Source organism: Homo sapiens, chromosome 6, assembly GCF_000001405.40.
Source record: "Homo sapiens chromosome 6, GRCh38.p14 Primary Assembly".
NCBI classification, from domain to species: Eukaryota; Metazoa; Chordata; class Mammalia; order Primates; family Hominidae; genus Homo; species Homo sapiens.
In genome coordinates this window covers 107601080-107615854 of record NC_000006.12, presented here as the reverse complement: position 1 = coordinate 107615854, position 14775 = coordinate 107601080, and the positions used below count along the sequence as shown (strand labels likewise).

The 14775-nt window shown below is 44.1% G+C and overlaps 1 protein-coding gene across 9 annotated transcripts in view, besides 3 other annotated features; it reads right to left on the bottom strand.

Annotated features, from left to right (window-relative positions):
• Window positions 1-14775, bottom strand: part of SOBP (sine oculis binding protein homolog) — a 171190-nt gene that overhangs the window by 45452 nt on the left and 110963 nt on the right. The window lies entirely within an intron of this gene.
• Window positions 2356-2650: a silencer, noted in NCBI's record as "tiled region #6907; K562 Repressive non-DNase unmatched - State 13:Ctcf". NCBI's record gives its function as "represses a minimal TATA promoter and a strong SV40 promoter by Sharpr-MPRA in K562 cells {active_cell/tissue: K562}" and the evidence as "EXISTENCE:reporter gene assay evidence [ECO:0000049][PMID:27701403]".
• Window positions 10585-11084: an enhancer, noted in NCBI's record as "H3K4me1 hESC enhancer chr6:107925975-107926474 (GRCh37/hg19 assembly coordinates)". NCBI's record gives its function as "activates a minimal SCP1, AML or CMV promoter by ChIP-STARR-seq in primed H9 embryonic stem cells {active_cell/tissue: H9 hESC(primed)}" and the evidence as "EXISTENCE:reporter gene assay evidence [ECO:0000049][PMID:30033119]".
• Window positions 11085-11586: an enhancer, noted in NCBI's record as "H3K4me1 hESC enhancer chr6:107925473-107925974 (GRCh37/hg19 assembly coordinates)". NCBI's record gives its function as "activates a minimal SCP1, AML or CMV promoter by ChIP-STARR-seq in primed H9 embryonic stem cells {active_cell/tissue: H9 hESC(primed)}" and the evidence as "EXISTENCE:reporter gene assay evidence [ECO:0000049][PMID:30033119]".

Genomic DNA, 14775 nt, shown 5'->3' with positions numbered 1-14775 from the left:
GAGACAAGGTCTCACTCTGTTGCCCAGGCTGGTCTCTAACTAGTCATCTTCTTTTAACCCAGAGTTTCAAAATCCTTTCCCGTCCATAACTGGAATTGATTAAATTTTGCCTCCTCTTCCTGCTCTCCAGAGGCAGAACTAACAAGCAGAAATCAGCCTGCCCAACCTCAGGGCAGGTAGGAACTCTCCCCAGATTCTCACAATCAGATTTTTCCCTTGGGGAACACACCATCCTTTGAATAATTCCTGGTCTGAACAAAAAACCAAGCACATTCTATAGGTAGACAGAAGTAATTCAGAAGGGGACTGCCCACTGAGCTTTTCACATTTACAAGACAGACTAGGGGCAGGTGAGGGACAAAGTGAAGCCCTCTCATTTTGCCCCATACCCAAAGGCTGTCGTTTCCTCAAGATTATCTCAGCCTTTGTCCCTCTGATTTCCAAGTGACTTGGAAAACAGAGTAATAATCCCTAGAAAATACCTAAAAGCTTAATAAATCTATTGCTTGGAAGTACCCCACTAATATTCAGTCTAAATCTTTCTTTCCTTAATTTTATTTCATTACTCCTACCCTAATTATACCCCTTGTTCTGAGCTAAATAAATTCCTTCCTTCCTCTGTGTTTATGTCCTTCAAATGTCTGAAGACCATGATCATGCCGACCACCCAAATCCTCAAACCTCACTAATGTGGCTGCATGAAATATAGAGAATAACACAAACAGTCCCCATGGGTGCCGCAGGCTCCAGCTGGATCTCTCCTGCTTTGCTAGAACCCAAGGTCCTTACTCAGGGAGTGGCTCCATTTTGAGTTCTCTAATTATCAGCATAAAAAGAGAGACGCCAGTAGGTCAGAGCAGTACACAGTTATCAGGAAACATTCAAAATGATGTTCCCACTGAATTTATAACCAGACGGAAACAAATCCCCAAACAGTAATTAACTCTAAATATTTCAGAAATTTACGTCAATGATGCTTAGTGATTTTTTTACAAGGAGGGGCATATTTTAAAACAGCTAACACAATAGATCAACATCAAATTCCCTTTTGATACCGGTTTTGCATTCAGCAAATAACAATCCAGCAATTTTTGAAACCTCAGGGTCATAACACCTTGGAGTAGATCACTGGCACCAGGGGTCATTTCATTGCACTTTCCAGTCCATGCAGGCAGCCCTGCTGCCATACGCTTGGCTGCTCATCTTAGTCTACTGTGATGCTTCTGCCAACGGGGAACTCACTACTTTATAAAAGTGTTCATCCTACTCTTATTAGCAGACTTCTGATACTGAGAAGAGAACTGCCTTCTTGCAAACCCTACCCATGGGCCTGGCCCCCTCTCTCTCGAAGCTACTTAGCACAACATCCTCCTCCAGACGGCAGCCCTTCATAAACCTGGCAACAGTGTCATGTGCTCCCTGGCCTTTTTGTCCCAAGGGTAACATCTTCAGTTACTCCTACTGTCCTTTCATATATATATTTTTTAAGAGATGGGGTCTCACTCTACTGTTCAAGCTGCTTCAACCTACTGGGCTCAAGGGATCCTCCTGCTGCAGCCTCCCAAGTAGCTGGGACCACAGGTGTGCACCACACCCAGCTAATTTTTAATTTTTTTGTAGAGATGGGATCTCGCTATATTGCCCAGACTGGTCTCTAATTCTTGGCCTCAAGTGATCCTCCCGCCTCAGCCTCCCAAAGTGCTGGGATTTTAGGCGTGAGCCACTGCGCCTGCCTTACTCCTACTGTACTTAAGGCATCATAACATCCAGACCATCATGGGCCAGGCTGCTCTGCCTTACACTTCCATTTCATTCTTAACATGTGACACAAGATGAAACACAACATACTTCTGAACCTGCACCTCAGAGATTGCTAGAGCTGAGCTTGCAGATTACATGGATCATTTTGTGATTGTTGAAAAGGCCTCCCCTTCCTCTGCCTTAGGTATATTCTACCTTTGAAGGCAGATTTCTTCAGGTTAAAATATGATATATCCAGGAGTCCCCTGTTAAAAACCCAAATATCTCTGAAAGGCATACTGTTTTAAGCTTCTAGAAGCCAGTATAAATTGATTTATTCAGCAACTTTGGACTTAGACCTGGATTCTAATCCTGACTTTGTCATTTCCTAGCTGTAAAACTGCAATAAAATTATTTAACCTTTCTGAACATGAAGGAATTAGTTAAGAAGGTCTTTGAACCTGGAAATTCTTATACAATCATAATCAAACATAAGCCAAGTATCTGTGAACTTATAACAAACAATTTTTTCTTTCTCCTTTTCCTCTCACTTACTACTTCTATAATTCTCAGAAAACAGACCTGATTTCTCTACATAAAAGTAGAATGAGTCATTCTTATATCTAATATCAAGGTAATCATGGAGTAACATAAAACATCTGAGTCCAGACAGTCTAGTCAAAAACAACTGAATGGCTATGTATTTTTAATAAATGTTTTTCTGCCATCCCTTTGAAATATTTTGAAACATCACCTTGAAACAAGGTCAAAGAGAACCCTTAATCCAGAAAGGCATTTTTCTCCTGGGTCTAGTCTTAGGACCTTCGAGAAACTCTAAATGTTGATCTTGGCAGCAGAAATAAGATGTAAGTGGCTACAGCCTTGACCCCTGGCTGGGATGCAGAAAGCTGCAGTAGGGCACACAGCCTCCACCTAGCGTTCTGAGTTCCTGTTTAAAAACAGCACTTGGTCTCTGGAAACTTCAGGGCTTCTCAAACTTCAGTGTACATCAGAGTCACCTGGAGAGCTTGTTAAAAGACAGACTGCTGATATTTGTATGCCAGTGTTCATTTCAGCATTATTCCCAATAGCCAAAGGGTGGAAACAACACAAGCATCCATCAACAGATGAATGGATAAACAAAACATGGTATAGCCATACAATGGAATATTATTCAGCCATAAAAAGTATCGAAGTATTGCTATATACTAAAACATGTAGGAACCTTGAAAACATTCTGCTAGGCAAAATAAACCAGACTAAAAAGGCCACATAATTCCACTTGTACATAACATCTAGAATAGACAAATTCATAGAGACAGAAGGAGATTAGAGGTTATCTGGGGCTGGGGATTGGAGGGAGTGAGGAATTATTGCTTAATAATTACAAAGGTTCTGTTTGGGGTGATGAAAAAGTTTTGGAAACAGATAGTGGTTATGGTTGTAAAACACTGTGAATGTCACTGAATTCTACAGTTAAAATAGAAAATGCTATGTTTTATATATATAACTACAACATTAAAAAAAAATTAGCCCACAGATTCCTGGGCCCCACTCTCCAGTTTCTGGTTCAGTAGGCCTGAATGGGGCACAAGAATCTGCATTTCTAACACGTTCCCAGGTGACCTGATGCTGCTGGAACTGAATTTTGAAACTGCTGCTCTAAGTCTACAAAGAGGAGCCTAAACAAACCCTTCAAACTCTCTTCTCATCTTGCTTTGTTTTGCTGATTATCTAGAAAAGTTCAAACTTCTGTGAATGTATAGCAAGGTCAACAAGCTGGAAATAATAAAAACAGCTGAGTCTTTCATTCTGCACTCAGACTGACCTGAAGCTATCAGTTCTGCCCTTTGGTTTTCTTCTGCCTTTTCTTCTCACTCAGTGTTGAGCCAATGTTGACCATTTGGAATGCCAATAATTAACGCCTACTCAAGCAGAGTGGGAACAGGTGCAAGTCAGAATGGGCAGTGGAGAAGTCAGCCTCCAGGTCTTGTCCTCAGAAATCTTGCCCCAAATTGTCCAATCTCACTATGCTAACGGCAAATTATTTTCTAATAGGCCTTAGAAAAATGCTTGCTGCTTAAAGGTTCAAAAGAACGTGTGTGCCAGCCCTCCTGATATTGATCTGGGCAAGATATTCATGAAAGGTATAGAGGATGTAATGCATATGTCTCATTTGGGGTCTGGTAAACTGCTCCAGAGCTCACGTTTCTGGGATTCTCTTTTTTTTCCATTCTTGGGTTCACCTCAAGTTCACCAGTTTTCCCGATGGAATTAGTTAACTCCTTCAAAAGTAATCTATTTTTATTCCTGCTCATTTGACTGTTGTATTTCTACACGTACATGCTTAATTGAGCAAAGTCTGCTGGACATTTTCTCTACAGAGGTAACACTGCACAGCTTCTTGACCGGAAAGAACAGCAACCATGTCGCCACCATTGCGTACCCTGACATCAGTGGCTGACATGTAAATAGTCATGGCAACAACACGGGTGAGTCCAATGCTGGCCCGGCCACACAGCACATACAGCCGGTCCTCCTACTGGGCTGAGGAGGAAAGTGATAGCTTCTACTCAGCAAGCAGAAAGTGTTGGTTCTTTTCAATTTGCAGGGCTGTCATGTTTAAATATGAAAATGTTGCTTATAGTCAAATGTTAGTGACAGCAGCCTGTGGCATCTATCATGGTTTGCACTCTTACTCCTGCTAAAAATAGGCTTGCTTTCTCTGGATTCCTTCAAATTCCACATCTGCAGGAAGTTTTTGTTGCTGTTGCTGGCCTTTTCCTTTCTTCCTGAAAGATTACTGTTCTTTGGCTCCACCGGGGCCCCCTCTTTCTTCCCCTCTCTGGGAGAAAGCCATTCAGAAGGATAATAAACACCCCAGGCTCAAACAGTCCCACAAAGACCTCATGTCGGTTCTCAGTTATTGGCACAGGCCTCCGCCTCTGAAGCCTTTAGTGAAGAGGGAACTGGGGCAGCTACAAGGGGCAGAACCATTTGACCTTCAGAAGTAAAGGAACGGAGGCTGATGGGGTTGGCTGGGGAGGGTGGAAAGCACAACTGGACAGCAAGTCTTCTGGGTTTGGGCCCCACTGGGCAGCACCTGCTGAGCAAACAGCCTGCTCTCTCCAGCCTGCCAGAATCATTTTGTTTTCCAGGTATTAAATTCATACTCTACAAATGGTAACTATGGTAGTGATGCATTTATTTAAAAATTACCAGTGGAACAAATGTTCAACTCTTCTCAAGGCAAGTATTCAATTGCCTTCATTAAGTCCATGGTGTGTGTATGTGTGTGTGTGTGTGTGTGTGTGTGTGCGTGTGCACACACGTGCGCACACACACATGCGCAAAGAAAGAGAAAGATGGGGAGAGAGTGGGCATGTGGTTGGAGCAAATGGTACTATTGCTTTAGGTTATGTTCAGAACCAGCCAAACAATCATGTTTGGAACAAGACCTGAATGCTTTGAAATGCTCAAGAGCTTTAAAACACATTAGAATCACTTGAAGAGCTTCTCCTCAGGCTCCCACTCTTGGGGATTCTGATTCAACTATTCTGCATGGGCTGAGCCTCCCAAGGGTTTGCATGGTAGCCATGTGGCACCTGCGAGGACCTTCCGAGCAAAGGCCACACATTAGCATGTGGATCCCTGGGCTGCTCAGACCTACTGTGTCCCTTCTTTCCCAGATCACTGCCTCTCACTCCCTGCTGCCTCTGTGGGCCAGTCCCCTCTGGTACACCCTCCTCTTCAGGAGCTAGCAATGATTCTGGCCATGAAACGTCTTACAGGAGACAGTCCAGAGAGGTCCCCAGAAAGGAAGACAGCCAGTTCTGCAGCCCTGGGTGGGCTGTCTTGCTCACGGAGACCCCAGAGAGCTCTGGACCGAATAAGCACTGTGGAAAGGGAAGAATCCATTTCATTCCCCTTCTACTCGCAGCTCCTCCCAAATGCCTGACACCTGATGCATGCTTGATAGAAGTTTGTGGAAGTGTCAAGTGTTTTCTGTTTTCCCCAGAGTTTACAACCTATGTGGCAGTACAAGGGGCCTTCAACTGGATAAGATGTGACTAAGAAGAGGTGGTTGTAAATGAGCTCCTATGAAGTGGGCCCTATGTGGGTCCCAACTTGTCTTAAGGACACTGGATATGTGTATTTAGAGTGGGAAGAGAGGTCCTCGTAGAACTAGAAATCCTCAGTCAGGAATGGGTGAAAGAGCACCAGATGACTAGGAGCTGGCAACACTTGGGTAGCACTTTAAGATCGTGACCCCATTGCCCAGTCCTGACTTAGTGCTTTGCTCCCACTTTAGCGCTCCCCTAGGGCCAGTGATGGTCTGGTGGGAGTAGGGCTTTGTCAGCAGGCCTTCCTGGAACCTCTCTCCTCTTCCTAATATTTAGGACTCCTTATGCATAACGGAGCTAGGCAACAAGATTACCCCCTCACCAGGGCTGCCAACACCACTTACTACCTCAGCCTGAAAGACCCTCAAGATCAAGCAGGAAGTCCTGGGAAATGTATCAGTTACTGACTTGTTAAGTACAAATTCTACACCATGAGTTGACTTAAGACAAAGAATCTCTGCATTGTGCTCCATGGCTGTTCTGTAATTTCTCTCTACTATCCACAGACACCAACTCATTCTTGGGATTTGCTGAGGAGCGGGAAGTGTAGCCTAAGAGTATACAACCTGGGGCTTTTCTTGTCTATAAGGGCTATTATTATAAAATCCTATCTCCTTTGACAGCCTATACATACCTCTCTGAAGTGGTGGTCTTCAAGCTGGGGTGGGGTACCCCAGGGGGTGCAAAGATCATTCACTGAAGTAAGGGAAGAAAATATTAGAATGCCTATTTACAGTTACTGTTAATCATTTCCATTTGTGTGAGAATTTATAATTATATAAAGATACTACAACAATAGTACATCTATACAATTTACAAATAAGTACACAGTGTGGGCATGTGCTCAAAAAATTATTTTAACTGATGAGGTGTGTGATCAAAAGCCTGCTGAGATCATGGATCTAAGTGACAACAGTCTGGCCTCATTTTCATTTACTGAAAGTATCAAATTAGGGTGTGAATAGCTGGGGACATATTTGATGACACTCCCTAGATTTTTCTTTGGTAGTGGTGGTTTGGGGCGGGGGAGTGGTATTAAAGAATAGATCAAAAGTCTCTTGTTTCTGTGTCAGGCTAAGGGGCTTTCTGATGCCAAATCGAACAAACTCACTGGATTCCCTCTCCCCAACAGGATGTGATCTGTTCCTCCTTGGGACCCCTCTTCGATACTTTTTCCCTTGCTCAAAGCACAGGTCACTATAATTTCTGTTGTCTCTTGAGTTCCTGTCATATCTGCCCTTGAGGGCAGTATCTGTCTCTTAACTCATCTCGTGAGGACCTTGCACGTAGTATAAGATGGAGAATACTTGGAAACATAATTGAAACTTTCATTTTAAAAGAGATGTCGATTTCTACAGCCAGGTCACTGGGCACAGTGCAGCATGCAGCACTTACCCGGCTTTAGATTCCATAATCAGCAAAAGCTAAAAAATAGCTTTTAAACTTACCATCCTATGTCAGTCCTCTAAATTATTTCTGCCTTATTTTTGAAATCTCAAAAATAGTAATTCATTTCATTTTTTTTAAGGAAAAGAAAAAAGACATTCTAATACCACGCAACTATAAAAGACATCATCTCAGAAAGAAAAGAGAATCCTTCCCAAGAAAGGACCGGGACCTTGCACCTCCACATAAAGTATATATCTAGCCCCCCATTTTTTTCATCTCATTCATCATGCCCCAGTCCATACATCACCAACGAGGAAACTCAGAGGTGAGGGGAAACAACACCACACAAATTCCAACCAAATCACTGGCAGCATTTTGCCCTACCAGGTGGTCAAAGGAGAGACAAGCCCAGTTCTGAACAAAACCATGGTGTATAAGATGTAAGATGTTTGTCCCACCTTCTTCATCTCTGTCTCCTCGTTGGTTATCTATCCTTCCTTCAGGACCCTAGTCCTAGGCAAATGAAACTCAAAGTGTCAGTCATCATAAGGCTCTTACCTTAGATGGCATTCACAACCCAAAGAAAGTAACCTCTAATAGTGGAATTTTGTGTGAGTGGGTAGCCCATCCTTTCCACTTGAGTAGCCCCTCAAATCACAGCACATTCATGGCTACAAACCAACTCACCTCTCTCTAGAGCTGGCCCCGTAAAGAGGCCCATAGCTCCAGCAGCCATTAAGATTCTGGATTGACACAGTGTGTCTCATACCTGGTAAGGGGCAAAGCTCTCTATGGAACCCCATGAAATGCTGATATGGTTAGTTCTATATTTGAACTGAAAACAATGTTATACCCCCAAAATATAATTATACTGATTATATTGCATGTGCATAATCAAGAAAACCCAACCTCAAGCCACATACTCCTCACATGCACACAAAAGGCTGCTGAACTACACATGATCAGCTCTTTCTGAGTTCAGCAGTGCTCATTTTTTCCTATTGCTTATTCAGTTTGATAAGTGCTAGCATATGCTTGCTACAATAGGTACCAGGTGCCAAATGCGTAAGAAAAAGTAGGAGAGAAACTCTTAAATGGAAAAAAATTATATTCATTAACTTAATTTTTTTCTGCAACAATGCCAGCGTTTGACATCAGCAGCAAAGCACGAGGGGCCAGCTGGAGGCGCACCAGTGTTCCTTGGGAGCTGAATGATAACAGACCAGAATATTTCATGTTGGGCCTGTCCCAGAAATTCCAGGTGGCTACAGACATGATCCTTTAAGTTACTGTCCACTTCCTGTTGTGCAACAAATTGTCACCAATTGCCTGAAAAGAATCAGGACACATTATCTGACCAATGTTTGTTCTGCTGTGGGTGGGGTATGTAAGGCAGACTGGGATGTGTAGCTGGAGCCCCAAGTCCTCTCCATGATTTATAGTGTGACAACAGGCGGAACATTTAAAACCAGGTGTCCTGGAAAATGTATGTGAGCCATATCAATAACATCACCCAGAGCACGTCCCTGGGACTGGACTTAAGGTCAAATGCTCACCAGCCCCAGTGCTTTGCCACACACACCTTCTTCCCAGTCCCCTTTCTCAGGACAGATTCTCTCCCAACAACAGGCGAAACCCAAGGCCAAGGAGTCTACCAGGCACAAAGCTCCCTCACCTGTTCAAGGGATGGGGGTGGTGATAAGCTCCACGTTGGACATCACTATAGGCAGTTCCTTTGAAGTCATGGGGTGCAGGCTGGGATTGCCCCTGGCTACCTCTCCTCACAACACACATTCATCTGCCTGAGCAGAGGGAGGCCAGTCAAGTCCAGCCTCTCCTGCTCCTGTAGGCAGAAAGCAAAGTAGGAGGAAGAGGGGATCCCAGTGAGGGCGCTGCCGCCCTATCCCCCACCCAGACCTTCAGTGTAGGAACCCCCTCTTTTCCTTCCGGGGATTAAACAATAGAGCCCAAATTCCAAGCACACAAAGGCAGTTTGGGATTTAGATAGCTATTAGCTGCCTCGCCTTTTCCCCCACAGCTGGAGCCCTAAAGCTCAGACATCAAATATCTAGAAGCAGTGAAGAAGGGGGCTGAACTTCCTGGGGAGCTGCATTCCCTTGAATGCTGCATCCCTGCTGCACCCCCACTGCCACCCACCCCAACCTGTTACTTTTTGTGATTCCAGCAAGACATTCTGTCAGCTGTGGATAAGAGTGCTATCTAGGGGCCAGGCGCAGTGGCTCACACCTGTAATCCTAGCACTTTGGGAGGCCAAGGCGGGTGGATCACCTGAGGTCAAGAGTTCGAGACCAGCCTGGCCAACATGGTGAAACCCTGTCTCTACTAAAAATACAAAAATTAGCTGGGCGTGATGGTGTGTGCCTGTAATCCCAGCTACTTGGAAGGCTGAGGCAGGAGAATTGCATGAACCCGGGAAGTGGAGGCTGCAGTGAGCCGAGATCGCGCTACTACACTCCAGCCTGGGAGATAGAATGAGACTCCCTTTCAAAAAAAAAAAAAAAAAAAAAAAAGGAGCCTATCTGATCTACACAATATGTTTCTCAATGGCTATGAAAGAGTTTGGGGGTGTGTGAATGTGTAGTGGGTATGTGTCCTATATTGATAAGGAGTTCACTGAAGCTGTCCTAAATTTAGAGGCTAAAAATCATCACCCCCTAGCCTATAGCGTCTCCAACTTTAGTGTGCACAAGAATGCTATAGCGATCTCATTAAAATGCAGCTGAGATTCAGGAGGTCTGGGTGGGACCTGGGATTCTCCATGCTTAACAGGGGCCCAGGCAATGTCCCCGCTGCCGGTGGGTGGGCCACATTTTGAGCAGTGAGAGGCTACAGACAACTTGGACATGAAAGAACGGGCCACAGCCATGAGAGCTGTATTTCGTGAATTTTGAACCAGGGCACAGGGTCTGAGGAAAGGTTTGGGTTTTGTTCCTGGAGCCAGAGGCAGTCTGGGAGTCACATCAGAATGCTGAAGATTCATGCTTCCTGGGACATTCTAAGACAGCAGAGACAGTGGGTCCCAAACTCAGCTTCTAAGGACACACTGTTGGTAAACTGGATCAGCTGAAGCTGCTACTGCACTCAAATCTCTTTTCTCCCAGACCACTGGAAAGAAATGTTAATGCACTGATTTAGCAAATTTGTTTTTCGCCTACATATTTTCCTTCCTTTAATTAGAAGCCATAATCTCTTGTTAGGATAAGGGCAGTTAAGAAGCCGAGGCCCCTGAACCCCAGCACCTCTTGGGTTCCCCACTTCAGTTTGCTAGCCCCATGGGGGCCTGGAGATGGGGTTGCCTGGTCTTTAATATTCTGGTACAAGTGTCAGCCCTCCTTTGACTTGCTCTATTCCCACTGGGACTTTGAAAAACAGATATTGTAGTATGTATATAATATATGAGAACAAAGGCGAAATGTATCCAGAGAATACAGGAAGCACAAAGACTGTCTGGTTGATGGCTAATCTGTTCAGCATCAGAACTTGTGGGAAATTTGAGCATGGGGGATGAACATGCAGAGTGGAGGGGGGAGGAGGAAGAGGGCTCTGAGCAGACTGACAGGTGACTGGGACCTGAAGGGAAGTGAGGCCAGGGAGAAATTCCAGGGGCCAGATGGGCCAAAGAATTTTTATGAACTGAAATGTCATATTTAATTTTAAATTTTTCACAGTGCTGTGACATAAATGCCCTTCACTAACTTGAATCTTCAGCGAAACTTGCTGCATGTACATGCACGCACCCATGAAGACGCACACATGCCACTGCCTGCTGAGAGATTCGGAGGCTCCAAGGTGCTGACACAATTTGCAGGTCTGGGTCCGGAAACCTCACCCCGCTTCAGGGCCAACTTGAAGGGTGTTATTATGCCACGTCACTGGGGGCGCCCTCACAGGCATATTGCAGTGAAGGTTCAGAGAGCCCGCCTGTCCCCTGACCTCACCTTCTTAGCTTCCAAAGAGAAGGAGGTGGGGAGGGGAGATGGGTAACAAGGAGCAGGGCTGTGGGGATGGGATGTGGGTAGAGGTGGGGTAGGGGTAGAGGTGGGATAGAGGGTGTAGGGGGATTAGGGGGTGGGGGCAGGAGCCACTCTTCATAAAAGGAGTGGCCAGGTCTCTAGAACAGGACGAGCAGTGAAACGAAATTATATCACAAGACAATAACCACAGCATGCATAAACAAGAATTACCCAAATTCACTAGGCAAGGATTTATCTCACAGACCGAGGCTGCTGTATCCACTAACAAGCATTCACAGATGACAAAACCAACAAGCAAGTGGCAAAGGAATACTAATAGGATACCAGAAACAGTCCATACTGCTTAGACAGCTTGATTATATATTTGTGAACCTGTTGGCTCTTGTTTATGACTTTTATTTGATAACTGTATTAAAGATGGCAAAAATTACTCTCAGTTCACACAATGGGAATTAAATATGTCAATAATTCACAGCATTCTCAAAAGACTGGCACATTTCCAAATGCTGGGCCACCTGAACTCATTTGAAGACCATTGATTTATGAAAACAGACAAAATAGGTGAAACAGAAAAGGGTGTGCAAATCTTGGGACATATGGTCATCACATGATAGCCAAGGTGCCCATGTCTGCCTGTGAGTATAATGCCACCAACAAAGGATGCCCCCAGTACAGCCCTGAGTCCCAGCCAGGAAATAAGAAAACTTTCCCATGGAGATCCAATTGTTCAATCCAAAGTTATTTCCTTCCCCTTCGTTTTCTGAACATTATTGCAGGGGCTGGGGATTTGGGGAACTCTAGGTCCCCAAAGCATGAGAGCCACAGGCACCCTCTGAGTCTAGCCCTGCTTTCTCAGAAACTTATGATGAGACCTCATGGTATCTCACATCTCAGGGAAAAGGGGCCTGCCATGGATATGCTAGCTTAGTACATCTCTCTGAGCATAGAGGCTTCCTTCATGCCCCCAAAGTACTTTTTGGGGGGCTTCCATTACATCGTACTTAAGCTGCTTTTGAGACAGTTTTCCACTGTGTTTTAAAAGTCAGTCCTGGCATGTCTGTAAACATCAGTTCATATTCCTGGAATAAATCTTTTTTGTGTTCCATCCTGCTACCCACAGGGGTACAGATGGCATGTTTTATGTGGCGGCCACTATTTACAGTTCAACCCCATGGAGGCCCATGAGATGCCACAAACGTAGCCCACACAGGAAGACAGCCCCTTGGGCAGAGACATTTGTCCTGACAGGCCAGGAGTGCCAGGAAAGGACACACCTTGAAAGTACACGGGGTGCCTCTGCCACTGACACCCATTCTCCATTCAGGGCATCCCCAGAAGGCACACTGGGAGGCAGGCTTTGCCCAAGTGTCAGCGGAGTGTCCATGGCCAGTGGCCGTAGCAGGGAAAACAGCACACAAAATGCCCAAAATTGGCTGCAGAGTTTAAAACATCAACAAAGCAAATCCTTCCTGACCAGGAAGGCTTACCACATTCATTTGCATGTTCATGAGCATCTGCTAGCTGAGTATCAATGTATCCTTCTTTCTATTCTGATGGACAGCCATTAATCACAGTAGATCTGCCCTTGTCAGTACCTCAGTAAACAGATAATGGAAGCAGGGTTTTTTTTTTTTGTGGGGGACGGGGGAGGCAAGGGGAGAAGAATCACTTTACCCAGAAGAATATTGTGAAGAAGCCCACTGCTGCCTCTGTCTCAGACTAAGCTAGCATTTGCTGAAAATGTCAACAGATTGCTTCTTGAGTTTTGAGTTGTGCAGACATCAAAAGCTTATTTTGCTTAAAATCACTTGGTTGGTTTAGGCATTTAGAATGTCTCTGACTATGTAATTTGGATTAAGAGGTTCTTGTTGGGTTTTACTGGTTTAGCATAAATCAGGACATAACTGGAATAGACCCCTTCACATAACCTGAGCCTTTAGGCCATTAATGAAGTAAAATTTGCTCTTTGTGTTGCCTTTTTAGTGGATTCTCCTCCTTCTTCCTTTCCTTTCCCTTTCCTTTTTTTTTTTTTTTTTTTAACGCGGCTTAGTTGCTATGCAGAGGCTTAGCGCTCCTGCATGGGGATCAGTTCCAGACTTTGGTTTGATTTGAAACAAGCCAAGCAAATTTGCCTGAATGTGATTTCAAAAGGTTTTCCTGTTTTCCTATTTCTCTCATCAGGAGATTGAAGGAAGCTGAGAAGCAAGTCACTATTTGAGTTCAAATAAAGCTGGTCTGATTTTCTCAAGTATTCAGTATGATTCAGGAGACACTGCTCGGATAGACAACCCCTGCTCCTCTGAAACACTTTAACAGTTCTCCAATCAGGACTGAGTCTCAGGAAGCTAATTTCAAAAGGCAGATTACTTATAATTGCAGATCAAATCTTTTTCTTCCATTTTTACTTCTGTTTCAGTCTTTCTTTTACCCTTTCTCTATATCATGTGGACTAGATGTGACTCAAAAAGTTAATGGAAATTGCTCTCATCTTAATTTAGGAAAAAAAGAGAAGGAGAGAGAGCAATGAGTATAATTTGCAGATCTGAGCACAGGTCATTACAGGTGTGTTATAGTAGTGTATTCATGAGCCTCCTGGGACAGGCATGCTGAGCTATCCAATAACTTTCTTAATGTGCAATTACACACCACTGGACTATAATTGATTAATTGAAAAGAGAATGTAGGCAGAGGTGAGGGCAAGACTTCTGCTGCTCATTAAATGAATATGTCTTTGCTTCTCTTTAATAAATTAAGTGGAACTACTCAAAAGCAATTAAGTCAGTAGTGAAATTCATTAAATTTTAAGTAATTATTGGTATTAAATTCTGTAATAAAATTCAAGACTTTGCATAGTTCCATTTCAAAAAGAAGTATGATTATTCTATGTGGTCAATTTAGCGGAATGGGGGTTCCAGAGAAAACTGTATTAGACCCAGTGACATTCTGTGTGGAAATCACACACAGAGAGAGGAAGAGACAGAAGGCGGAGAGGCTCTGGAGGCACTGGCCTGCCCTGCTGGACCAGCCAGGGCAAATGTGACACTTAAATTTAGGAATGGAGTCATGTTTCCAAAGTAATTTCGAAAGTGTTTCTTGCATTTAAAATTTAATCTAAATAGTTTCAGAAAGATGACAAACACTTATTTTTAAACCTAATGTCTTGCTACAATATTTGATACCTTCTCTAGTAGCTAAATTCAAACATACACATGAATATGCGGAGTTGAGAGCAAATTGGAGAAAATTCTTTCCAGGCCCTACTCTCATATGGGAAACAAACCTGGGCTATTGGGGTACAGGAAGAGGACAAGATGTGCCATAGTTTAGGGACGGGGCCACAGAGAGCTGTCAGAGCCCATAGGTGGCTGCCACAGCTTCTGCTTCTATTCATTCTGCCCAAGAAACTCCGCAACTCAGAAATAATGTCAGAGAGGAACTCAACTGAGCCAATGCTGCCGCATTCCAGACATTCCTGACAACTCCCTAGACATAGGAGAGACCTTGGAGTCTGAGCCGATTGGGGAAAA